The 24,649-nt window shown below is 53.0% G+C and overlaps 3 protein-coding genes across 5 annotated transcripts in view, besides 9 other annotated features; all 3 read right to left on the reverse strand.

Annotated features, from left to right (window-relative positions):
• DSCAML1 (DS cell adhesion molecule like 1) overlaps positions 1-13,441 on the reverse strand; it is a 389,743-nt gene extending 376,302 nt beyond the window's left edge. The window contains exon 1 of the mRNA NM_001367905.1: positions 13,317-13,441. The gene's annotated coding sequence lies outside the window, so the exon portion shown is untranslated. The remainder of the gene's footprint in view (positions 1-13,316) is intronic.
• Positions 5,333-5,402: an enhancer, noted in NCBI's record as "active region_5573". NCBI's record gives its function as "activates an Ori minimal core promoter by ATAC-STARR-seq in GM12878 lymphoblastoid cells {active_cell/tissue: GM12878}" and the evidence as "EXISTENCE:reporter gene assay evidence [ECO:0000049][PMID:35858748]".
• Positions 5,453-5,502: an enhancer, noted in NCBI's record as "active region_5574". NCBI's record gives its function as "activates an Ori minimal core promoter by ATAC-STARR-seq in GM12878 lymphoblastoid cells {active_cell/tissue: GM12878}" and the evidence as "EXISTENCE:reporter gene assay evidence [ECO:0000049][PMID:35858748]".
• Positions 9,737-10,314: an enhancer, noted in NCBI's record as "H3K27ac-H3K4me1 hESC enhancer chr11:117684525-117685102 (GRCh37/hg19 assembly coordinates)". NCBI's record gives its function as "activates a minimal SCP1, AML or CMV promoter by ChIP-STARR-seq in naive H9 embryonic stem cells {active_cell/tissue: H9 hESC(naive)}" and the evidence as "EXISTENCE:reporter gene assay evidence [ECO:0000049][PMID:30033119]".
• Positions 11,104-11,183: an enhancer, noted in NCBI's record as "active region_5575". NCBI's record gives its function as "activates an Ori minimal core promoter by ATAC-STARR-seq in GM12878 lymphoblastoid cells {active_cell/tissue: GM12878}" and the evidence as "EXISTENCE:reporter gene assay evidence [ECO:0000049][PMID:35858748]".
• Positions 15,044-15,778: an enhancer, noted in NCBI's record as "H3K4me1 hESC enhancer chr11:117689832-117690566 (GRCh37/hg19 assembly coordinates)". NCBI's record gives its function as "activates a minimal SCP1, AML or CMV promoter by ChIP-STARR-seq in naive and primed H9 embryonic stem cells {active_cell/tissue: H9 hESC(naive and primed)}" and the evidence as "EXISTENCE:reporter gene assay evidence [ECO:0000049][PMID:30033119]".
• Positions 15,779-16,513: an enhancer, noted in NCBI's record as "H3K4me1 hESC enhancer chr11:117690567-117691301 (GRCh37/hg19 assembly coordinates)". NCBI's record gives its function as "activates a minimal SCP1, AML or CMV promoter by ChIP-STARR-seq in naive H9 embryonic stem cells {active_cell/tissue: H9 hESC(naive)}" and the evidence as "EXISTENCE:reporter gene assay evidence [ECO:0000049][PMID:30033119]".
• FXYD2 (FXYD domain containing ion transport regulator 2) lies at positions 15,984-24,016 on the reverse strand. Of its 2 annotated transcripts, none has more exons than NM_021603.4 (6): positions 23,922-24,016; positions 18,606-18,644; positions 18,333-18,407; positions 16,786-16,822; positions 16,593-16,623; positions 15,984-16,299 (listed from the first exon to the last, which is right to left on the reverse strand). In NM_021603.4, exons 1-5 carry the CDS (start codon positions 23,938-23,940, stop codon positions 16,599-16,601), a joined length of 195 nt encoding a protein of 64 aa, NP_067614.1. In that variant the 5' UTR covers positions 23,941-24,016; the 3' UTR covers positions 15,984-16,299; positions 16,593-16,598. The 2 variants fall into 2 exon arrangements, with proteins under 2 accessions (NP_067614.1, NP_001671.2); NM_001680.5 differs by lacking the exon at positions 23,922-24,016 and adding an exon at positions 20,581-20,671.
• The window catches only part of FXYD6-FXYD2 (FXYD6-FXYD2 readthrough), a 56,602-nt gene continuing 47,936 nt past the window's right edge, over positions 15,984-24,649 (reverse strand). The window contains exons 7-11 of one of the 2 annotated variants that reach the window (NM_001204268.3): positions 18,606-18,644; positions 18,333-18,407; positions 16,786-16,822; positions 16,593-16,623; positions 15,984-16,299 (exon numbers count right to left, since the gene is read on the reverse strand). In NM_001204268.3, coding sequence (NP_001191197.1) covers positions 16,599-16,623; positions 16,786-16,822; positions 18,333-18,407; positions 18,606-18,644 — 176 coding nt within the window. In that variant the 3' untranslated portion in view covers positions 15,984-16,299; positions 16,593-16,598. The remainder of the gene's footprint in view (positions 16,300-16,592; positions 16,624-16,785; positions 16,823-18,332; positions 18,408-18,605; positions 18,645-24,649) is intronic. The other variant, NM_001243598.4, reaches the window with a different exon arrangement.
• Positions 18,195-18,748: an enhancer, noted in NCBI's record as "H3K4me1 hESC enhancer chr11:117692983-117693536 (GRCh37/hg19 assembly coordinates)". NCBI's record gives its function as "activates a minimal SCP1, AML or CMV promoter by ChIP-STARR-seq in primed H9 embryonic stem cells {active_cell/tissue: H9 hESC(primed)}" and the evidence as "EXISTENCE:reporter gene assay evidence [ECO:0000049][PMID:30033119]".
• Positions 20,411-20,964: an enhancer, noted in NCBI's record as "H3K4me1 hESC enhancer chr11:117695199-117695752 (GRCh37/hg19 assembly coordinates)". NCBI's record gives its function as "activates a minimal SCP1, AML or CMV promoter by ChIP-STARR-seq in primed H9 embryonic stem cells {active_cell/tissue: H9 hESC(primed)}" and the evidence as "EXISTENCE:reporter gene assay evidence [ECO:0000049][PMID:30033119]".
• Positions 20,965-21,517: an enhancer, noted in NCBI's record as "H3K4me1 hESC enhancer chr11:117695753-117696305 (GRCh37/hg19 assembly coordinates)". NCBI's record gives its function as "activates a minimal SCP1, AML or CMV promoter by ChIP-STARR-seq in primed H9 embryonic stem cells {active_cell/tissue: H9 hESC(primed)}" and the evidence as "EXISTENCE:reporter gene assay evidence [ECO:0000049][PMID:30033119]".

Genomic DNA, 24,649 nt, shown 5'->3' on the forward strand with positions numbered 1-24,649 from the left:
GTCCTCCAGCCACTCTGAGCAGGAGAAATGTGCGGCCCAGAAATTCCACCTGCTGGAGGCCAAAGCCACGGCTCCTGGGGTGCCCCAGTGGTGAGTGGGCTGCAATTTGGGACAGTGAGGCTGAACAAAGACATTGCCTGGAGACCACGGGGAATGTTGGCCCCTCAGTTACAGAATCTGAGAGGGGGCAGTGCCTTAGAGCTCAGCTCACCTGGCCCCATCTCATACCCACTGGCTTTCTACACCGACCCAACAGGTGTCAACTCAGTCTCTCAAATGCTGCCAGGGAAAAGGGGCTTGCTCCCCACACAGAAGTTTATCTAATTTCACTGTCCACAGTCATGTACACATGCTTTTCTTTATCAAGCCCAAATCTGCCTTAGCTTTCTGGAGTTCAAAAGATGTGCCCAATCTGGACAAAATGACAGCTATTCAAATATTCAAGAACTGCTACCGCAGGCCCCCACACCTTCCTTTTGCCAGGCTACGTATCTTTTTTCTTTTCTGACATAATTTCTAGACCTTTCCCTATTCTGGTTTCCCTCTTTGCTTATATTCAACTTTAGCAATATCTCGTCCGGGCATGGTGGCTCACGCCTGTAATCCCAGCACTTCGAGAGGCTGAGGTGAGAGGGTCACTTGAGCCCAGGAATTCAAGACCAGCCTGGACAACACATGGAGACCCATCTCTACAAAAACATTTAAAAGTAGCCAGGCACGGTGGTGCATGCCTGTAGTCCCAGCTACTCGGGAGGTTGAGGTGGGAGGATCTTCTGAGCCTGGGAGGCTGAGGATGTTAGTGAGCTGTGATTGTACCACTGTGCTCCAGACTGGGTGACAGACTCTGTCTCATAAAAGAAAAAAAAAATCTCTCTTAAAACAGAATAGACTCATGAATCCGGATGAGGTCTGAGCAGCTCCAGTCCAGCGCCATCACCCCCTCAGTAGGTAGCTGATCTTCTCTTACTGTTGTCCAATGTTTTGTTGGATTTCCTGGGCTGACATGCCAATCACTCTGGACCACTATCCCACGAACTTCTACTGAACTGGCCTCCTTGGCCTGTAATCCTGATGTGGATTATTTGAGAGAAAACATGATCCCATTCATCATTTGGTGAAAGTTGGGAAATGGGGTGTTGCCTGGGTCAAATGGCACTTACTTACACAATGGGTGACTCAGAATGTCATCTAAGGTCCTAGCCCAGCCCCAGTGAGGGTGGCAGAGCTCAGCTAAGAATGCAGCAATAAGGTTCCCATTTCAGGCCACAATGACATTGAAACCCAGCATCTTTACCAAACTTGACCTTATTTTTGATAAATCCAGCAGAAAACAGAAAAAGATCTAACATAGCATTTCACAAGTGTTTCATGAGAAGGTAATAGGTAAGGTGCAAAAACTGATCTATGGTCAAATAGGTTTGGAAAACAGTGGAATAATCAAAGGTAAATAGGTTTTTGTGGGAGTTGTTTTTGTTTTTGTTTTTTACTGCAGGCTTTAACACGCTGGTGGGCATTGTCAATCTCCAAGTGCTACAGTATGAGGTTTTGGGGGATCCATTTCCCACTTCTCCTGGTTAAAAACTCTGTTCTTTCACTGTTTCTGGTCCACACCTGGCCTAAAGGAAGTACATTTTGTTGGTTTACTCATTCTTTTGGCAACTCTGTGCCCAGCCCCTGTGCAAGGAGTTCCCCGATCCCTGGAAAGTCTAGCACAGAGTCCCTGCCCTCAGGAAGCTTGCATTCCAGTGGAGTAGAAGATGTTTAAAGAGCAACACAGGGAAGCCTACATGCTCAGAGTCAGCAGGTCAGAGTGTGAAGGGACCTGGGGAGCATCTCCTGCAAGTGCCTAGGAAACAGTGGCTGGCAGGTGAAGGGCGTCCCAGGTCACATGGCAGAGTCAGGGCTTAGGTCCAGGGCTCCTGACCGCCTGGCCTGCGCTCAGCTAAGTGGTGTTTACCTCCCTCCTAGGCCCTGTTGCCTTCAGACTCTTGCCCACCTTGTTCACCACTCCATCCTCAGTACCCAAGGCAGGTCTTTGATGACTGTTTGTCGAATGAAGCTATGATGATGTGGCTGGGTTGGATGATCTTTACAGTCTCACCTAGGGCAAGGGGTTCGATAAGTCTGTGAAGAGAGCTGCTTAAGCTCAGAGAAAGGAGTGGTCAGTAAAAACCAAGGTAGGATGTGAGTTGGGCTTGAGCAATGGGAAGGATATGCAGAGAGGCAGGGAAAAGGCCTCCCTGCAGGGGCTCAGGAAAGCCTGACTCTATGGTGTGTCTACCCATCTGAGACACCCACACATCTGGCACATGGCAGTTCAGAGCTGTGTCCTCAAAGACTCATCGGTCCAAACTCTGAGCTGAACTGGCGGGCTAATTGTTTGTCTGCATCAGCCAAAGTAGCTTCTTCTTTTGGCAAATCATAATCAGAGTCCTGGACTCCTACTAATAACAATGATTATAATTGAGCACTTGCTGTGGGCCCAGCACTATGCTAATTACTCCAGATGCATAATCTCCAAACAACCCTATAAGACTGGTATGATTATTATCATCCCCATTTTACAGACAGTGAAACTGAGACATAGAGAAATTAACTAAGTTGTCCAATTCACGCAGCGTCAGATGCTCAAGGCAGTCTAATTTCAAACTCATCATTCTATGTATTGACTTTGGTGGTGGTGGTAGTGTTACTGCTGTTACATTTTTTAAAGTTTGAACATGGAAAATTTCAAGAATATACAAAAGTGGGGAGAACAGTATAACGAATTATTATGCACTCATTTCCCAGATGCTACAAGAGTTGACTCATGGCCAGTTTTTTGTTTCATCTATGCTCCCCTCCCATCACCATGAATTTTTCTGAAGCAAATTTCTTGTGTTACATAATTTCATCCATTGATCATTTTGTGTGCATCTCTCAAGGATGAGGCCAAATCCTCTTTCTCAATCACAATACTTTTTGCCTCCTGACTGAGAAGTTCCTTGGCCGGGGCACCCGCTTCCCCCAAGCCACACGCCAGATTTCAGGCTAGCCACTTCCCCACACAGTGGGCACAGAGGCAACAGGCTCAGCGGGTAGCCTGTCCCCAGCTCCTCACCACACAGCCTGACCAAATGGCATCTCTCTGCCTCCTCAGAGTGAATTTTTATCGCTGAAGCCCCTGCCATCAGTCTAGTTGCTCTGCAGATGGGGAACTGGATGTGGTGGTCTGCCTGGTGGGGTTGTTGACACAAGGATGAGTCTTTCTTGACCAGGCCTGTCCTAGGCTCCAACCCTGGCCTTGCCCCAAATCCCAGTACCTACTTCAGAATGATTTGGGGGGTGGGAGATCTCCTCTGCCTGGGAGGAAATGACTCCCCACTCCGCCCAGCCTAAGAGCAAGAAGGGATGAGATGGAGCCAAGAACCTGGAGTCAGAGATTCACCGCACTTCTCATGAGCTGGGAGGACCAAGTCTCACCTTTTTGGTCTGTGGAAGTGGGAACAGAACACCGACCCTGCAGCGTGGCTGTGAATGTCTAAGGAGATGGGCAAGTTTTCTCCGCAGAGTTGTTTAGCTAGAGAAGGTCACAGTACCTGCCATGGCCAGCAGGTGTCGCCCAAAGACTGAGTATGAGAAACCTTTGGGCGGGATGGGGGCTCCTCCATGGAGATTATCTTTCAATATTAGATACAGCTGGACTTGGAAGAAGTGGAAGAAAATTCAGCCTGAAGGGTTTCTCCTTTGAAAACTCAGTCTGGTTCTGGCTTTCGTCGGAGTTAAAAATTGGAGCTTTGCAGTTTTCACCCAGGCTAGAGTGCAAAGGCGTGGTCTCGGCTCACTGCAACCTCCACCTCCTGGGTTCAAATGATTCTCCCACCTCAGCCTCCCGAGTAGCTGGGACTACAGGTGCATGCCACCACACCCAGCTAATTTTTGCATTTTTAGTAGAGATGGGGTTTCACTTTGTAGGCCAGGCTGGTCCTGAACTCCTGACCTCGTGATCCGCCCGCCTAGGCTTCCCAAAGTGGTGCGATTACAGGCGTGAGCTACCGCGCCCGGCCTGCAGTTTTCAAAGTATGCTCACATGAAGATACCACAGCAAGACAGACATCAATATCCGCATGTTACAGATGAGGAAATTGAGGCTTCAGAAAGAGAGTGACTTGCTAAAAATTATGCAGGCACTAAATGACAGAGCCATTAAGTGACAAAATATAGAATTAGAAGGCCTTCGGACTCTATATTCTGGGCAATCTGCCGACACATTCCTATGGGTCAAACCTTTAGGAGGAGTCCTGAGACCATGGCTGGGCTGTCCCTGCCCCTCTGGAAAAGATAATAGGCGCATGCCCGAAGCCCCTGGCATGCGACATGCTATCCCCTGAGAGCATTTGCCATCTCTGGGTCTCAGTGGCTCCGAAACCACACAACTACACATGCACACAGGCACAGGTGAGGTGAAGGAGAGAGAGATCCCAGACTACAGAATCCGGGATCTGTATTTTCTGTTTCCCAGTATTTGGATGTAAGAAGCTTAGCATAGGTCTTGGGGCTGGCATTTGGGAAATCCTGAACTAGAAGATAAACTAGAAGGTTTATGTTCTGTAGTTTCATAAACACTATCCACTTAAGCTTGTCAAAAACACTAATACAGTGTCTGGCACATACTTGATAGTCAACAAAAATTTGCTGAATAATAAATGGCTGAAAAACACGCAATCACCCAGCCCAGCAGAAGCCTTGGTGAACACTGCTTCATCCCTCACCCACTTTACATGTTCGCAGCACTTTGTGGCGTACATATCTCATTTACACACATGATCTCGTTCAATCTCTTTAATGAGTTGGATATCACAAACCCCATCTCACAGATGAGAAAACTGAGGCTCCGAGACACTAAAGGACTTCCCCAGGGCTGCCCAGGTGGTCAGTGACCGAGCCAAGCTCACGCCCACGCCTGTCTACCCTGCTCTAGCAGCTCCGTCACTGCCCCGCCCCTGCTTCATATCATTTCCACTGCGAAGCTTGAGAGGAGGAAAAATCCATCCAGAGAGAATGAATCTTCCAGATCCGTTGGGAATGCCTCAGATTTAGGAGAGGCGACCTCAGGAGTTTGCCCTGAGACCCCAGGCTCAGGAGAAGTCTTGCCTCATTTGGCGAAGGGGCTCAGTGCAGACCTCCAGGGTGGGGCAGGTCCTGGGAGGCCAGCTGCCGCGTCTGCACTCCTGGAAAGTGCAGTGTGGGAAGGGTGGGAGCTGTGGGAAGGGAGGGGAGCCCTCCTCCCCGCTGTGCCTGACTCCTTGGGCGTGGCTCTGATGGCTGGAGAGGACAACCCGCCTCCCTGGCCCACTACTGGATGTGTCTCTGCGGTCCTCCGCGGAAGGAAGCTCCAGGCCTCCGCACTGGGAACCTGGTGTCTGCCTCCCCCTAGTGCCACAGGACAGGATGGTGGCGCCGCAGGCTGCTGTGCAGTACAACATAGACGGCGGCCACTCAAATTCTCCACTACACAGGTCCTGCCCTTCACCCCAGTCATGTCTCGCAGTGAAGCCGGAGGCTGGGCTCACTCCCTGCCCCAGCCTGTGTCCTTGCCAGCCTCTAAGAACTACTGGAGGGGACCAATGGTGTCCTCCAAAACAGACCTCTGATTCTCAGCTGAGGAGGCTGAATCGCCGCGCAGCGCTCCAGATGCTAGGTCCACCCACGCAACCCTCCTGGGTTGCTCTGCTCCTCCCCAGTTCCAGCTCAACTAGCAACGCACAACACACACAAACTCACACAGTCACATACACACTCACACTCACTTACACATTCACATACTCTTACACACACACACCCACACACTCACACACACATTCACACATTCACACACACGCATATTCACATACACACATTCACACACTCACACATTCACACACACTCATACACACATTCACATACACACATTCCCACACTCACACATATTCAAATATTTTCACACACATTCACACTCACACACATTCACACACTCACTTACACATTCGCACACACATACACACATTCACATACATACATATTCACATTTCAATCTTGGCGCCACACTTCAATCTCTCCCTTCTCTTAATTTCAATTCCTTTCATTTTCTGATAGAGACAAAGGAGACACGTGGACCCAAAACTCCGTGGACCCAAACTCCGTGGACCCAAAACTCCGTGGACTCAAAACTCCAGCGCCCTCTGGGGGAGGGGCAAGTACCCCTCAACCCCTTCTCCTTCACCCTTAGTGGCAAGTCCCGCTTTTCTAGGGGGCAAGAACCCCCAATCCCTTATTTCCGCACCCCGACCTCTTATCTCTGTGTCCCAATCCCTTATTTCCGCACCCCGACCTCTTATCTCTGTGCCCCAATCCCTTATTTCCGTGCCCCAACCCTTTCTCTGCTTTTCTGGAGGGCAAGAAACCCCCACCCCCTTCTCCGTATCTCTACTCTTTTCTCTAGGCTTGCCTCCTTCACTATGGGCAAGCTTCCACCTTCCATTCCTCCTTCTTCTCCCTTAGCCTGTATCCTTAAGAACTTAAAACCTCTTCAACTCTCACCTGACCTAAAATCAAAGTGTCTTATTTTCTTCTGCAATGCCGCTTGACCCCAATACAAACTCGACAGTAGTTCCAAATAGCCGGAAAACAGCTCTTTCAATTTTTCCATCCTACAAGAGCTAAATAATTCTTGTCGTAAAATGGGCAAATGATCTGAGGTGCCTGACGTCCACGCATTCTTTTACACATCAGTCCCTTCCTAGTCTCTGTGCCCAGTGCAACTCGTCCCAAATCTTCCTTCTTTCCCTCCCGCCTGTCCCCTCAGTCCCAACCCCAAGCGTCGCTGAGTCTTTCTAATCTTCCTTTTCTACAGACCCATCTGACCTCTCCCCTCCTCGCCAGACCAAGCTAGGTCCCATTTCTTCCTCAGCCTCCGCTCCTCCACCCTGTAATCTTTTTATCGCCTCTCCTCCTCACACCCGGTCTGACTTACAGTTTCGTTCTGTGACTAGCCCTCCCCCACCTGCCCAGCAATTTACTCTTAAAAAGGTGGCTGGAGCTAAAGGCATAGTCAAGGTTAATGCTCCTTTTTCTTTATCCCAAATCAGATAGCGTTTAGGCTCTTTTTCATCAAATATAAAACCCCAGCCGAGTTCATGGCTCGTTCGGCAGCAACCCTGAGAAGCTTTACAGCCCTAGACCCTAAAAGGTCAAAAGGCCATCTTATTCTCAATATACATTTTATTACCCAATCTGCTCCCGACATTAAATAAAACTCCAAAAATTAGAATCTGGCCCTCAAACCCCACAACAGGACTTAATTAACCTCACCTTCAAGGTGTACAATAATAAAAAAAGTTGCAATTCCTTACCTCCACTGTGAGACAAACCCCAGCTACATCTCCAGCACACAAGAACTTCCAAACGCCTGAACTGCAGCGGCCAGGCGTTCCTCCAGAACCTCCTCCCCCAGGAGCTTACTACAAGTGCTAGAAATCTGGACACCAGGCCAAGGAATGCCTGCAGCCCAGGATTCCTCCTAAGCCGTGTCCCATCTGCGCGGGACCCCACTGGAAATCGGACTGTTCAACTCACCTGGCAGCCACTCCCAGAGCCCCTGGAACTCTGGCCCAAGGCTCCCTGACTGACTCCTTCTCGGCTTAGCAGCTGAAGACTGAGGCTGCCTGATTGCCTTGGAAGCCCCGTAGACCATCGCGGATGCCGAGCTTTAAGTAACTCTCACAGTGGAGTGTAAGTCCATCCCCTTCTTAATCAATACGGAGGCTACCCACTCCACATTACCTTCTTTTCAAAGGCCTGTTTCCCTTGCCTCCATAACTGCTGTGCGTATTGACAGCCAGACTTCTAAACCTCTTAAAACTCCCCAACTCTGGTGCCAACTTAGACAACACTCTTTTATGCACTCTTTTTTAGTTATCTCCACCTGCCCAGTTCCCTTATTAGGCCGAGATATTTTAACCAAATTATCTGCTTCCCTGACTATTCCTGGATTACAGCTGCATCTCATTGCTGCCCTTCTTCCCAATCCAAAGCCTCCTTTGCGTCCTCCTCTTGTATTCCCCCACCTTAACCCACAAGAGACCTCTACTCCCTCCTTGGCGACCAATCATGCACCCCTTACCATCTCATTAAAACCTAATCACCCTTACCCCACTCAATGCCAATATCCCATCCCACAGCAAGCTTTGAAAGGATTAATGCCTGTTATCACTCGCCTGCTACAGCATGGCCTTTTAAAGCCTATAAACTCTCCTTACAATTCCCCCATTTTACCTGTCCTAAAACCAGACAAGCCTTACAAGTTAGTTCAGGATCTATGCCTTATCAACCAAATTGTTTTGCCTATCCACCCCATGGTGCCAAACCCATATACTCTCCTATCCGCAATACCTCCCTCCACAATCCATTATTCTGTTCTGGATCTCAAACGTGCTTTCTTTACTATTCCTTTGCACCCGTCATCCCAGCCTCTCTTCGCTTCACTTGGACTGACCCTGACACCCATCAGGCTCAGCAAATTACCTGGGCTGTACTGCCACAAGGCTTCACAGACAGCCCCCATTACTTCAGTCAAGCCCAAATTTCATCCTCATCTGTTACCTATCTCGGCATAATTCTCGTAAAAACACACGTGCTCTTCCTGCTGATCGTGTCCGACTAATCTCCCAAACCTCAATCCTTTACAAAACAACAACTCCTTTCCTTCCTAGGCATGGTTAGTGCAGTCAAAATTCTTACACAAGAGCCAGGACCGCACACTGTAGCCTTTCTGTGCAAACAACTTGACCTTACTGTTTTAGCCTAGCCCTCATGTCTGCGTGCAGCGGCTGCCACTGCTTTAATACTTTTAGAGGCCTTTCCTACAAGGTCTGAGAAGGCCACCACAGTCATTTCTTCCCTTCTGTCAGACATAATTCCTCAGTTTAGCCTTCCCACCTCTATACAGTCTGATAACAGACCAGCCTTTATTAGTCAAATCAGCCAAGCATTTTTTCAGGCTCTTAGTATTCAGTGACAGACTAATGGTCTATTAAAAACACACCTCACCAAGCTCAGCCACCAACTTAAAAAGGACTGGACAATACTTTTACCACTTTCCCTTCTCAGAAGTCAGACATGTCCTCAGAATGCTACAAGGTACAGCCCATTTAACCTCCTGTATAGATGCTCCTTTTTATTAGGCCCCAGTCTCATTCCAGACACCAGACCAACTTCGACTGTGCCCCAAAAAACTTGTCATCCCTACTATCTTCTGTCTAGTCATACTCCTATTCACCGTTCTCAACTACTCATACATGCCCTGCTCTTGTTTACACTGCCGGTTTATACTGTTTCTCCAAGCCATCACAGCTGATATCTCCTCGTGCTATCTCCAAATTGCCACTCTTAACTCTTGAAGTAAATAAATAATCTTTGCTGGCAGGACTATGCTGAATCTCCATAGGCACTCTCTAATTAAATGTCCTAGGTCCTCCCAATTCTTAGACCTTTTATACCTGTTTTTCTCCTTCTCTTATTCCATTTAGTTTTTCAATTCATACAAAACCGTATCCAGGCCATCACCAATCATTCTACATGACAAATGTTTCTTCTAACAACCCCACAATATCACCCCTTACCACAAGACCTCCCTTCAGCTTAATCTCTCCCACTCTAGGTTCCCACGCCACCCCTAATCCCGCTTGAAGCAGCCCGGAGAAACATCGTCCATTCTGTCTCCATACCACTCCCCCAAAATTTTCACCGCCCCAACACTTCAACACTATTTTGTTTTATTTTTCTTATTAATATATGAAGGCAGGAATGTCAGGCCTCTGAGCCCAAGCCAAGCCATCGCATCCCCTGTGACTTGCACCTATACGCCCAGATGGCTTGAAGTAACTGAAGAATCACAAAAGAAGTGAAAAGGCCCTGCCCCGCCTTAACTGATGACATTCCACCATTGTGATTTGTTTCTGCCCCACCTTAACTGAGTGATTAACCCTGTGAATTTCCTTCTCCTGGCTCAGAAGCTCCCCCACTGAGCACCTTGTGACCCCCCTTCCCTGCCCACCAGAGAACAACCCCCTTTGACTGTAATTTTCCATTATCTTCCCAAATCCTATAAAACGGCCCCACCCCTATCTCCCTTCGCTGACTCTCTTTTTGGACTCAGCCCGCCTGCACCCAGGTGAAATAAACAGCCATGTTGCTCACACAAAGCCTGTTTGGTGGTTCTCTTCACACGGATGCGCATGAAACTTAGTTCATAATTGGCTAAGCCAGGGCTCAAATCCAGGTCTGCTGATTCCAAAGCCTGTGACCTTAGCTGTGAGGCCAAGGAAGAAGGGATCACGCACACCTCTGACCACCCCAGCTGCCTACCCTGACCCCACAACTTCCTTGCTCCTGGAGGCATGGAGCAGGGACAGGGGTGGTCCACCTGGTTGGTAATCAATCACTCATTCATTCCTCTACTCAACCAGTCACGTGTGCACTCAGTAAACATGTATGGAGGGTGCACTAAGTGCCCAAAGGGGGGTGAGGCACTGGGATCGGTGGGTGAACTTTCAGATGCAATCCCTCCCTCATGTAGCTTATAAGCAGTGGGGCCTCAGATGTGAAGGCAAAGCTCAGAATTCAGGGGATTCAGGGTCCCCTGGCAGGTGCCCAGGGTGCTAGAGAGAGCAGGTCAGGAACACTCTTGAACAGCGGAGGCCCAGCCTGGCTCGTCCCCCTCCTGCCCCCTGGGGCGGGTGTCTGCGGCCTCCAGGCTACTCCTGGATGATTTTATTAGCTGTGTTGGGAGCATATGGTCCTCGGACATGAGACCTGAAGTAGTATTTACTGGAGAGCCGAGGACACCGGGTTCCCGTGTGGGCTGGGTTTGGCACGCACTCGGTTACTGATTGATAGGCCATTCAGGAAACAAAGACCACAAGAGAATTCAGCATGCTCCTGGCTCGGGGCCAAGCCAGCCTCATCTCCTTTGCTTTGTCAAGTGTGTCTTTTTGTCTGCCTTCATCACTTGCTGGGCGCCTCTGTGTTCACTGCCGGGAGGAAGCCAAGTGTGTATTTGCAGGGGCTGTGGGGGTGTATCCAGCTTTTCTCTAAGAACAGCTATCCAAGGGGCGGGAGGGAACAAGGGGGTCAGCCACAGCTCTCCCCTTACCCCTTCCCCTGAAAAGTCACAGCTCCTTGACGTGTGAGCTGAAGCTTGGGACTTTTGTCTTGTGTCTGTTTTTTCCAAAGCCAAGTCCAGAGACAGACCAGGGCCTTCCCAAGGTCACACAGCAAGCCAAGGGCAGAGCTGGCAGTGAAACCAATTTTCCACCTTCCACGGTGTGGTCTGCACTGAGCTGCAGGCAGGGCTTCCGGGGCCACAAATTGCTTCCCCAGCTCAGAACATTGCCCTCTTCTCCCCTCCCTGCTGCCCTGCTCACCAGGGGGAATTCCTCTCAGTGACACCAAAGAAGCCCTTTGGGGAAGTGACAGTGAGCATTTCTTGAAAAGGGAACCAAGTTTAGACATCTAGAGACAGTAGCAGCCGCGGTGACTGGCGGCCTCCTGGGGCTGAGGAACTTCGGGGTGTCACTCAGGGTGACAGCAGGTAGCCCAGCAAGCCCATAGGAGCAGGACAGGCCAGGCTGGGCCTCCACTGTTCCAGGACTGTTCCTGACCTGGTGTCACCTGCACCCTGTGAAGGGAAGCTCAGAATTCAGGGAGACTCAGGGTCCCCTGGCAGGTGCTCTGCCCTGGTCTCCCGCCCTGCCAGGGGACCCTAAGTCTCCCTAAATTCTGAGCTTGCCTTCACATCTGAGGCCCCACTGCCTACAAACTGAAAATGAAATCTGCCAAAACGGGTTGGGGAGCTGCCACTCCTGAACATAGCTCGTCCCAGTCCCTTCTAGGCATGAGGTCCCTCCACACCTGGGGGAGACCCTCCCCCAATCTCCCAATGCCACCTTCTTTGCCCCTCCAGTGTCAGGTTGAAGCTCTGGGAATGAACGTTTGAAGTTCTAAACAGGATTTCTTCCCAAGTCCTCAGTCACTCAACGGCAAACTATGAAGTGTCCCCAGCCTGTGAGGCTCCTCCTGCAGCCAAAACTGGGAGGGGGCACTGAGTCTGGGCCCAGGCTTTCTTCCAAGGCTAGGACACTCGGGCCCTTCCGTGGCTCTCCCAGTGCAGCCCTGGGCTCAGCACTGCCCTCCCAATGTCCCGGAAGGAGGCCGCTGTGGCCCTGGCTCCGAGGCCCAGGCCCAATCCATCTTCCCAGCCAGTGACTCGCTCTGACAACAGGGCCGAGCTGCCGTGGCATTTGCCTCTGATCTCCGCTGGCCAGGCATTTGTCAGGCAGCCTGCTAGGAATGAAGAATGGGCGCTTGGTGAGGCACAGATTACCCGCCCCAGAGGCCCCTGATGAATTGCAGTTCAGAGCTCAGCTGCCTGGGGCCATGGATCAACAGGGAGGCGACTAATCTCCCCCACAGCAGCCCTGCCGAGCAGAGCGGAGGGAGGGTGGAAGCCTGGAGAGTCTGGGAGGAGACGCTACACCACCCCCTGCCCTGGGCCTTTCTTCAGCACAACACCCCTCACGCCCTCCACTCCCACCCGTCTGTCCAGGGAGCCCACTTCCTTCACTAGACGCAGCGCCAGTGGAGACGCTCAGTTCTTTGGGGGCACCCCTTCCTTGCTCCCTGTACAAGAGAGAGAGTTCGGAATTGCTGGGGGGGTGGGGTGGAGATTTCTCCTGATGCCCCAAAGCATTTAGAAAAACTGGAGGCCCATGCCAGGGGCACCCTCACCCTGGACAGGAGATCAGCCTGTAGGAGCTAGCGATCGGCCTGTCTGAGGCTCTTCTTCCTCTGATGGGGAAGTCCAGGCCACCCAGCCAGGAAGTGCCTGCCAGAACCCAGCAGAAGCCCTCCTGCCCCCATGCCCACAGGGCTCTTTCTCTGGAGCTGCTCAGAGGCTGGATGGGTTTGGATGGTGGACCCTTTAGCAAGGGATAGGTGTGGGACTGGCTGCTGGCTCACAGGCTAATTCTCCTGGCCCTCCCTGGGCTTCCTACCCAGCTCTTCCTGTTCATGGGTGCTGTGAGGAAGGCCAGGACTCAGCGGACTTAGCAGAGACCCTGCAACCCCATTGCCCAAGGCCAGCACTTCTGGGCCTGGGGGCTCTGGAAGTGCTCTCCCAGGGGCTGGCAGGGCAGAGCTACCTGCCCTCTCCCCAGATGGTGAAACAAGTCCAGTTTCCCTTGGGCCCTCACCTGCTCCGCCTGGCTGCGTTCCCCTCACCCTCACCTGGACATGCTCACCTACTAAGCTGTGACTGTCACCTTTTGCTCCACTTCGAGTTCACCTGGGGAGGCTGAACAACCACCGATGCCCCATCAGTTGAATCAGACTCACGGCAGCTGGGGTTGAGAAGAGCTACTGAGGCAAAGCCTCTTTCCCCTCCCACCCTACAAACGTCCCTGCTTGACTTCTCTGCCCCTCCCCATGTCCTGCTGTTGTTGATTTACTCAGACTACAGGGTTAGAGGCGTCGCCGTTCCCCAGGAGTTGGGGAAGATGTGTAGATCACGTGGGGTCTCTGCCTCTGGGAAGGAATGAGCACTTAAGACCCCACAGCCAAGAATTACCCCAGAGTGGGGCAAGTGCTGTACCTGGGGGGTGAACAAGCGGAATGAGAAGAGCTGAGGGCTTTCCTAGGAAATCACGGCACCGGGCGGACCATTCAGGAGCCAGGAGCCCCTCCTCCCGGCAAAGGCCCTTGGAAAGATTGAGTTGAAAACACACAGCTGGAGGGGATTCGGCGCAAGCCACGTGCTCCCTCTGGTGGTCAGAAAGGGAATTGCGGCCTCAGACGAAGACTGTCATGGTCGGAGTTGTCTGATTAAGAGTAATTCACCCAATAATTTCCTAGGCTTGGTAGATCTTTGTGACTCAATGCAGGTCTGAATTGTGGAAAATCCCAAAGTGAAGTGAAAGTTCAGTAACTGCCAGCCCATGTGACCTTTCTGGAGAGAGAAGGGAAATGTTCACAAGAGTCCTGGTTAGGAAGCAGGTCCCAGGCCTCTGAACACCACCTGGGGCCATGGGGCTCGTTAAGCCTCCGCCTGCAGAGGCCACCCCCCAAACCTCATATTCAACCGGGCTGGGGAAATCTGGGTACGTGGTGGTTTGAAAAGCCCCTCAGGTTCAGACCTGATAAAGCCTCACATTTCACAAGGAGGGAGGCCTTGAGGCAGGGTCAGCGAAGGGAAGTGACTCATCCAGAGCAGGTGGAATTTCCCTCTGAGGGTGGCAGGCTGGATTGTCCTCTGTATGGAACATTCTAGAACATTCTAGAAACGTGATTCTTCTCCAGTGCTCTTACTTCTCCTGGGGTGGGCCACAGGTCTGAATACCCCCTCTTCCTGTTTGCCTTGCTGCTGCATCCAAGAGGCTTTGGGAGCCTCCCTCCTCCTGAAAGCCCCCCTGGCTAGACCTGCCCCATTCAAGTTCATTTCTCCCACCCTCGAGGGAGAGCTCAAGTGTGTGCCTCTATCTCCTGCAAAGAAAACTGAATTCCATTTAAGGGTTTGGCCTACACCAATGAGTCCACATTTGGAGTGGGGTGTCACAAGGACTTGGTGCTGAGTTGTAAGTCACCTGGCCTTCCCCTGCCTGGCTCCTGGTCTCCTCTGGAGTTTCTCCCCACAACCCCAGGCCTTCTCTGTTTCCCCTTCACTCTCCAAACCCACAGGCAGTCAGTGGGTAGTCCACCTCCCTGCCCCACCAACCGCTTCCCGTCCTTTGGATGTTCGTGTGGTGGGAAGAGCTCTGGAAGGGGAGCCAGAGACCTGCAGTTTACCTCTGGCTCCGACTCAGGCTGGCCATGTCACTCTGGATAAGCCACGGCCTCTCTTAGAGCCTCGGTTTCCCCTTCTGTAAATTGAAGACGGTCTGTTTTGCTCTCTAAGGACCCTTCCCTGCTCAAGCCTTCTGTGTTTCTAGGAGAGTTGGTGGTTATCAGGGACTGGGGGCAGTGGATTAAGACAAAGAGCTTAATTCCCAAGTGGAGTGAGGTCTATCCTGCCTCTGGCCCCCAAACACACCCTGTTCATTTCCTGGTCCTGTAGCTTGGTTCTCCTGCCAGTTCTCCCCTCTCCTCCCTCAAAAGCTTGCAGGCCCAGATGAGGAAGCCAGACGCTAGGTGGTGCCAGAATCCCACAATCCCTCCAGCCTTCGAGGCCTCTGAGTGAAGGGAGGGAGAGGAAAGTTGGGCTCCTTCCTGAGTGCAGAAGGTCCCAGAGGCCTCCCTGCATGGCCATGGCCTTGGACTCACAGCAAAGGGGGCATGGGCATTAGGAGTCGGGCACATTAGGAGTCCGCACTAGGTGGAGCGACCTGGAAGCATCTCAGGCTGAGGCTGCCCTGGGTGGGTCCCTGCCTGCATGGACGGGGGCTGGAGCAAGTGTGACAGTGGTCTCACTCTCACCATCTGTTCCCTGGCCCCAGGCCCTGGAATTAACCAACCCTCCAAATAGGTGGCCCCAAGAGTGGAAAGAGGTGGCCCGAGCTTAGTACCAGGAGGGGGCTGGGAAGAGGGCTGGCTCCTTCAGGACATGTGCAGAGGCCCAGCACCAGGCTCCCCGGACCCACCCACCTTGGCCCAGGGGGGTACATATGGAAAACGGCAGAGCACAGGAATGTGACCACACAGAGGCCCATCTTGGTAGCCTGGGGCCTCTCCACAGCAACTGCTAAGCAGGGTCGCTTCCAGGAACCCAACAGTGGTGCCTGGGGCAGAGGCCTCATGGGTATCCAATGGGCTGTGGTTTTGACCTCTGGGCCTTTCAGACTTCCCAGGTGTATAAAAGCCAGGCTGAGGCCTCTGTCCCCAGGGCTTCTGCCAGTTCAAGGGGTGTGAGGAGTGGCCTACAGATGACAACACTGAACTTCTTGCTTTTACAGGCAGACAGGTGCCTGAGCAATTAATTGAAAAAACAAATGAGACCCGGCTGTATTTGTACTTGAGCTTGGAGAGGCTGGTGGTGACAGAGGAGGGAGACAGGCAGGCAGGTGAGGGAAGCAGCGGTCTCTGACGCCGGCTTTATTATAAGCATGAGGTGGCACGAGGCAGGAGTTGGCGATGCCACCTGGGGGTCACATTGAGTCTGGAGCTTCCTTCAGCCCAAGCGCTGGCAGTGACGGGGACAAAGGTCTAAAGCCCAGGGAAGAAGGGGAGGCGCCAGAGGCAGGGCCATGCTTGGCTTCCCAGCTGGCCCCAGTGCAGTGGGTGGCACCGCCGAGGCTGAGAAGACAAAGGCAGGATGGGGTTGGGTGGGAGGCAGCAGAGGTTGGGGTTTTACTTCCCCCTTGTCCATCTCACTTTTCTCCAGGGCTCCTCTGTGATCTCCTGCGGCACACACTCCACGCCAGGCCCTTGGCCATCATTTTAAACACACGATGGGTGACAGACCACCTGGCTGATGTGTGGACGACCCTAAAATTCTTATTTACCGAGTCCAGGAGCCAGAATTCTTCCCTGTTGCTCCCAAGCCTGCCCTGCCCTCCCCGCACCTTCCCCAGGCCCTCCTAGCATACCTGCTGTTACGGCTCATCTTCATTGATTTGCCTGGTGGGGGAAGGAAAAGCAACAGGTGAGAGGGCAGGGGGAGGGGTGGGTCTAGGGATCTCTGAGGCTGGGGATCCTCCACTGTGTCAGAGACAAAATCCTCAGCCCGCCCCTCCTTCTCCAGCCCCAACCCCCTCATCGGTCACCCCAGGCAGCGCTCACCTGCGCTTCTTATTGCCCCCACAGCGGAATCTTCTGCCTTGAAAAGAGAAAAGGAGATTTGTTTCCATGGACTAATTTTCCAAGGAGACCCTGGAAGACTCAAAATTCTTCCAGTCTCTCCTACCTCCCTCCTGCCAGTATCATCGCAGGGTCAGGCTTGGAGGCCACGTTTGACTGTCTCTATTTTATTTTATATTTTATTTTATTTTATTTTTTGAGACGGGGTCTTACTCTGTCACCCAGGCTGGAGTGCAGTGGTGGGATCGTAGCTCACTGCAGCCTCAAACTCCTGGGCTCAAGTAATCCTCCTGCCTCAGCCTCCCAAGTAGCTGGGACTATAGGTACATGTCACCATGCCCAGCTAATTAAAAAAATTTTTTTTTGTATAGATCGGGTCTCACTGTATTGACCAGGCTGGTCTTAAACTCCTGGTCTCAAGAGATCCTCCTGCCTTGGCCTCCTAATATGCCGGCATTACAGGCATGAGCCACCACGCCCAGCCTTCTCTCTCTTTATATAAGGCTGGACCATAGGCATTTAAGAACCTAAGTCAGTCAGTCAGTCAGCAAATATTTACTGGAGCAGATCCACGGTGGTCTGTTGGCATATCGAGAGTAGCAGCAGAGACTGGGCCATCATGGTGCCCCCAGCACAGCTGCCCGATGAACACCTGGAGAAGGATGGCAGCAACTCCAAAGTGGAGCCCCTTGCTTAGGCCACCTGCCTCCTGTGCCTATGTGATCAGCTGCCACCCGGCACTGCCCTCCGGGAGCTGCCACGGGCAACATGTGAAAATGGGGAGACCTGCAGGACTGTGGCCCGAGCCTTGGGGTGGGCTGGCAGTGGCACACGTAGAGAGAGCTGCCATGGGCAACACGGGAAAATGGGGAGACCCGCAGGACTGTGGCCCGAGCCTTGGGGTGGGGTGGCAGTGGCACACGTGCATTAGAAGTCCAGAGCCCACAGGTGTGCTTGCTGTATCTTCTTTCCATGGGTTGTGTTTTCTGTGTATTTTTCTTTGGGTTGGACCAAAACAAGTCAATGTGCAGTTATTAAGCTCCTGCTGTGTGCCCCTCGGGGCTTGAGGATACATAACTCTCTTTGTCTCCCCCAGAACACTCCGAGTCTGCACTGGACCGTTCTCAGAGCGCTGTCCTGACTGCCATGTCTTTGGATGCTAGCCCTAATCTTGTGAGGCAGGTGGGATCATCCCTATTTAACAAATGAGTTTGGGACCATGGTTAGCAGCGGGGGGCCTAGTCCCCCTGTCTGGCCCTCCGGTTACCCAGTTACCCCGTGGGTTTGCTCTCACTTCTGCGGCTCCTCCCGGGCCCACTGGAGGGTGCACTTGAGCAAGCAGGAACCTCACACTGTGCTCCCAGCGAGCCTGGCACCCCACCGGGCACCCATTCCCACATCCTGCAGTGGGGGGCGTGGTGGGGAGGCTCACCCCTCCCTTGGCAACTCCCGAAAGCCAGCCTGCTCAGCGGCCTTGAGAAGAGAGGTGCCCTGGTCAGCACCCCTTCCCTGGAGGCCACCCCACTTACTGAGGAGGATGAGGAGCCCCACGATGAAGGCCAGTCCAGCGAAGATCAGGCCCCCATTGCGAACGGTCTCATAGTCTCCGGAAAGAGAGGGCAAGAGGAGCGGGATGGGTGGTCTCTCCCAGCAGCTGTCTCTCTCCGCAGCCTGCCCGCAGCAGCCCGTGGTAACCAGGGGAGATAAGGGGCACAGAGCATGGACCTGGGGCTGGGAGAGGCCGCTGCTTGGTGGAAGGGGTCCTGAGGGCTCAGGAAGGGTGCGCAGGGGCCCAGGCTTACCATAGTAGAACGGGTCCACGTCCCCCTTGGGGCTGCCGCCTAGGAGAGAGCCAGAGGTGGGATGAGAGGAGTCACCGATGGTGAGCCAGCCACAGGAACAGCTGGAATTCCCTGTCCTTCCCTTCCCAGAGGACCCTCGAGGGTCCAAGCAGGCGAGGGGAGGCTGGGAGCAGGGGTGTTGCTAAAACCATTGCCAGCAGGCTTCTGCTCCAGGCGGCTTCAGACACGCTCAACTGGGGACCAAATACCGAGTGTCCGAGGGGGATCCGTGCTGTCTGGGGGGCCTCTGACCACTCCGGAAGGGTGGCTCTCTCCTGCTCCTTGATTCCTACCATGGTAGAAAAGGCCAGGAGAAGCCTCTCCCATTAGACTCCCAGCGGCCTCTCTCCACAGGACCATTTGGCTATCAGGTGCTTAGCAGCTATTTGGGAAATGCATGAATAAATAAAACAGAACCTTAAAGTTTATCAGACAGAAGGAGGAAGCCGAGCCCAATGTGTAGACTTGTTCAAAGTCCTAATGAAAGCTGAGACAGACCTCCTTTCCTGCGTTACCATCCTCAGGGGAAGCAGATCTAGTTAAGAAACATTAATATATAGTGCTGGTCAGGCACCGGGCAAAAACTAACAAACCCTAACTCATCTAACCATTATGGCAACCTTATGAGGCGTCAATGTCATTCTGGTGTAATCCACAAGAGGGTGGAAGTGCAGAGAAGAAATTCCCCCACAGTTATACAGCAAGTCAGGGGTAGAGCTGGTGTTTGAACCCAGGAAGCAGGGGGCTGAGAATGGAGGTGCATAAGCCCTTTGATCTGCCACCTCTCAATGGCGGGAGGGAAGGAGCCCGTTAGAGGTAAGGTCCTGCCCCTGCCTCTGGTGGCCTCCCCCGGATTTGGAGCCGCTCAGCAGGCAGGTCTCACAGTGGTGCCCTGCAACTGAGTACACTTGCCCCGGACAGCCAGACGGTGGCCTGGCCAGGACGCTTCTGCCACAGCTAAGGGCCGCTACTCTTTCCTGCCCTGCCGGAGCCCCTTCTCGCACGAGGGAAGTGGAGCCCGAGGAGGAAGGAACGCGCAAGTTAGCACTTTCCGGGCTGTGCCAAACTGTGCCCCTGAGCAGCAGTGAGACTTAGGGTCTGTCAAGCCCAGCTGTCCCCAGCGGCCAGTCCCTGGGCCAGGAAAGGACAGGCCAGGAAGAGTCAGTGCCCATCCTGACGGGCCTGAGGTGCTGGGTGCTCAGGGAGGCCATGAAGGACCCAGGTCCCACACAGAAGGCCGTCAGGGCTGTCTTCCCAGATTTGGTTCAGGCCTTGTTTAAGGTCATATGGGGATTTAAGTGTCAGAGCAACAGCTAGACGCCAGCTGAGGCTTCCCCACACGCCCCAGGAAACCTCCTCCTCCGTGGCCACCTGGCCCTGAGCCGCTTGCTGAGACCCTCCCTGCCCAGCACCCTCCCCTTTCTGCATCTGGCTCAAAACCCACCTCTGTCAGCAAGTGCCCCTCTTGGTTTCCAGGCCTGAGTCAGTTCCTGTGACAGGAAGCCTTTGGAGAGTGTGACTTGAACTTGGCGGGCTCTCACCCCAAATCCAGCCTAGGAAGGCTGACCAGAGGGGCCTGCTCCTTCCCCAGCCAGATGGACGCCGTCTGCCTCCCGCCCAAGTTCAGACGGTCTAGCAAGATGCATTGAACTCAGGGCGGGTGTGTGCCAGGAGGCCGAGGAGGAACGCTCAGCTCTCCAGCTTCTATCTGCTGCCTTTCTGCCACTCAAGCTATCTTTCTTTGGGGTTAAAGCAGGGTCCTCCTTTAAGTTGCAAATTTTCTTAGAGAGGAGGCCGACAGGAAGAGGGGCTGGGTACTCTGGAAGGCTGAGGTGGCAGGAGAGGGAAGAGTAGGGTCCAGCTGACCCCACAAAGGCAGGCCAATCAGAGCCACCCAGCATTGCACACGCCCGGGCACGCACACCAGCACACTCACCACCGTCCATCGACAACCCAGTCATTTCCCCAGGTGAATGGGCTGCCTCCACTCCCCTCTTCCTGCTGTCTCTGCTTTTTGGAGAGTGTCTGGCTGCCTCCACGGGGTGGCCGGGGACGAGGTGCGGGCATTAAACATTAACAGTGCCAGGTAATATTTACCCTGGTCACAAGAAAAGCTGCAGTGTGGATGGAGGGGCTCCTTCTGCAGGGTGAGGACGTGCGTGGGGAGGCAGGGGCAGGGAGGAGCTGGCTGAGTTTCCAAACCTTCCCAAAGGAAATTTCCAAAGAGAAGGGTTGGGATGGGTCAGCAGTCGTGCTGTTCTGCCAGCTGGGGAAGCTACAGCTGGGGCGGTGGGAACAGGAAAGTGGAAGTTGCACAATCTCTTCAGTGTACACTGTACTTGGGAGTTTCTGGGGGCAGTGGCCCACAGTGGCCCCCAGCCCAGGCAGGGCCCACCGCACCAGCCACCATGGATGCCGCCGCTGCAGCTGGTGTTCCTTATGTGGTACTGGAGGCTTTCCTGCAGTGGTCCCTAGGAGCCTGGCCCACTGCTCCCCCACCACATCCCTGGAGCACCGCCAAAGCTGACCAGCAGTAGATCCTCCAGAAGGGCCCTTCATCTGTCATCCTATTCACCCATCAACGTGCACCCTGCAGGTTACACCTCATTCAGAAGGGCTTCAGTCATCCCCAACTAATTTCTCCTTCCCTGCCGCCCTGGCACTTCCTCCTACCACCATTTGGCCTGGCTCTCGGATTGTGTCCTTGCCAGTTTACCATGGAGCATGCAGGATCCTTAAGGACAGGGCAAGACTTTCATCGTGGGGAAAACCCCCTGCGTTTATGGTTTACCAAGCACTTTCCTCACTGTTTTTTCTCCTCAAGCTTTATGTTTCCCATTTTACTGATGAGGCAGGTGTCTAAGGCACAGAGAGGTAGGGGCCTTGCCCAGGGTCACACAGCCAGTGTGGGGGAAGTGGAGACTGACAATCAGGCCTCCTGCTGCAGGAGGCAGATGCTTTCCACACCTCGCAGGCAGCCTCCCCACTCCGCTGTGACCTCCTTCGCCCCAGGACTCCTGTGCCGGGTAGTCACAGGTACTGTAGAATCCTCGTTGAGTTCTAGTCCATTGAATTGGCCTCCAGAAAAGGCTGAAGCCCAATGGCCACAAAACAGCCAAGGTCAGTGGCCAGCGGACAGCAGGGGAGCTTGAGCCCTTCTGAAGGGAGCCACTGTATCCATGAATCCTCCCCAAGCAGGGGCAGGGCTTGGCACTTGAGTTCACACCCTGGCCCTCTCACTTGCTAATGGTGTGGTCTCAGTCAATGACTTCACCTCTCTGTGCCTCAGTCTCCTCATCTGTAAAATGGGCGCAGTACCCAGCTCCTAGGGTGGTGGTGAGGGGAAGTGAGATAATGCATGCAAAGAGCATATCCCAGGGCCTGGCACACGGTGAGTGGCATCATTTTTACTGTTATATGTGTGTTGATTGAAGAAATGACAAGCATTAGCCTTTGGCAAATGTTTGCTGTTGGACATGGAAAAGCCAGCCACCCTCCAATGAAAATGGGCACGAATGAGTGAGACGGAGAGAATGGCATGGCCCTGCAGATCAGGCGCTGCAATACCCGTTCAGCTCCCTTCTGCTTCTGGAGCCAAGAAATATATATTCGTGCAAACATCACAGCAGAGCCAGCGTTTGGTGAAGATGGACCACGTGCCAGGCTCTTGGAATGCACTGCATCACTTAATTCCTACTAATGGCGTTTTACAGATAAAGAAACTTGAGGCTGCTCATTTGCTTTCCACAATAGCCCCTGGACGTGGCCAGGGCACTGGGTACACCAGAAAAAACGAGGGCAGGAAGGTGAAGGGACTTGCCTGAAACACACAGTTAATGGCAAACTGGAGGTAGAAAGCCCAGATCCTCCAAGATGTGCTACCAAAGCTACTGCCATCTCCACACAAGACAAGGGTGCTCCCTTTATTATACAGGATTGTGTTATCTTATTGCATTTGGTCTGTATTTGTAAGCCTCCATGGAGTCTTTCGGGAATAATAAGAGATGTAAAAATAAGTGGGAAGTTAAATAAATTCATCTGTCTGTCTGTCTGTCTGTCTGTCTATCTATCTATCTATCTATCTATCTATCTATCTATCTATCTATCTGTCTATCTATCTATCTATCCATTGACAACCCAGTCATTTCCCCACCCAAATGGACTGTCTCCACTTGCCTCTTCCTGCTGTCTTTGCTCCTTGGTGGGGTGGCTGGGGATGAGGTGGGGGCATTAAACATTAACAGTGCCAGGTAATATTTACCCTGGTCACAAACAAAGCTGCAGTGTGGATGGAAGGGCTCCCACTGCGGGGGGGAGGAGGTGCATGGGGAGGCACCAACAGATGGATGGATAGATAGATAAATAGAGAGATAGATAGATAGATAGATAGATAGATAGATAGATAGATAGATAGATAGATATGGATGATAGATCGATCAATAGATAGATGAATAGGAAGCAATAGGGAAAGCTAGTTGATGGCTACATTTTTAAACTCTGTGTGCAAGGCACCGTTTCAAGCACTTTACAGAAATTAATTCTTTTTTTTAAGACGGAGTTTCGCTCTTGTCACCCAGGCTGGAGTGCAATGGTGCGATCTCGACTCACTGCAACCTCCGCCTCCCGGGTTCAAGTGACTCTCCTGTCTCAGCCTCCTGAGTAGCTGGGATTAAAGGCATGTGCCACCAAGCCTGGCTAGTTTTGTATTTTTAGTAGAGACGGGGTTTCACCATGTTGGTCAGGCTGGTCTCGAACTCCTGACCTCAGATAATCCGCCCGCCTTGGCCTCCCAAAGTGCTGGAATTACAGGCGTGAGCCACCATGCCTGGCCAGAAATTAATTCTTTAGTCATCACAATGAGTTTTAGAAGGTAAAGAAGGCATTATTATCACCCCATTTCATAGAGGAAGAAACTGAGGCCCAGATAAGTTAAATAACTTGCCAGAGGTCAGATGGCCAGAGGGTAGGGGAACCAAGATTTCAAGCCAGCAGCCTGGCTTCTGAGTTCCTGCATCTCTAAGGGACGGATGGACAGACAAGTAAATGAGGCAGTTGGACAGCTGCCTTCCCAGCCCTCGCAGCTCAGATATGCTCTGCACACACGTTACAGCAGGCCAGTGACTCCGTATGGAGATGCTCTTTTTTGGAAATTCTGCCTCTCTTCCTTTCTGCTTTTCCTGCACTTCTGGGGAGCTTGTGGGTGCACTTGAAAGGGACGGGGCTGGCACCTGTGTTAGAGCCTGAGCAGGGAGGAGGAATGGGGCTCAGAGGACTCACCCAGGTACCACCTGTCCATGGCAGGAGCTGCTGGTTGTGTCCAGGAGTGCAGGAGAGCAGGGAGGTGCTGCTTGCCTGGGGCCTGGATGGAGAGTGGCACTCCCCCTCTTCACACTTCAGGTGAGCCCACAAACAGGAAGAGACACAGGGAGGGAGGAGGGGCTGGCAAAGGAGCCCTTACCTCGTGCCCACTTGCTGGGGCGGGTTGGGGCAAGGGATGCACGTGAAAGCCAGGGGAGATTTTCTGACCTCCACCTGGCACTTGAGGATGGGCAAGCTGTCAGATGCAGCAGAGCCAACCACAGCCCCCGCCCTGGCCCTCTCCCTCGAGGGGCTCCACACTGCAGCCAGCCCAGGGTGCCCGAAAAGGGTACAGGAGCCGGGAGGAATCAAGGAGCCCACTCTTCCCCAGGCCCCTGGGCTGGTGGCATGTGAGGGAGACCTTTAGGGGCATGTGTGGGTCCCCTGAGCTTTACTCCGCTGCACCTCTGCCCTCCAGTCCAGCTGGGCCGTTGGCCGGAGGTATCCTGCCCAAGACCCCGGTCTGTAGCTAGGCATCCCCTGAGACTGGGAGGCACAGCTGCAGCCTCTCAGAGGGGTGGGAATGGTTTCCAGGACCCTGTCGTGGCACCTGAGGCACCGGCCCCAGCTTCCTGTGTCGTTCTGGCAGTTGGCAGAGAGATGGGGAGCAGCTGCGGGGCTGGGAGCCGGAGCTGTGATGGGGGCCG

This window comes from Homo sapiens, chromosome 11, assembly GCF_000001405.40.
Source record: "Homo sapiens chromosome 11, GRCh38.p14 Primary Assembly".
Lineage (NCBI taxonomy): Eukaryota > Metazoa > Chordata > Mammalia > Primates > Hominidae > Homo > Homo sapiens.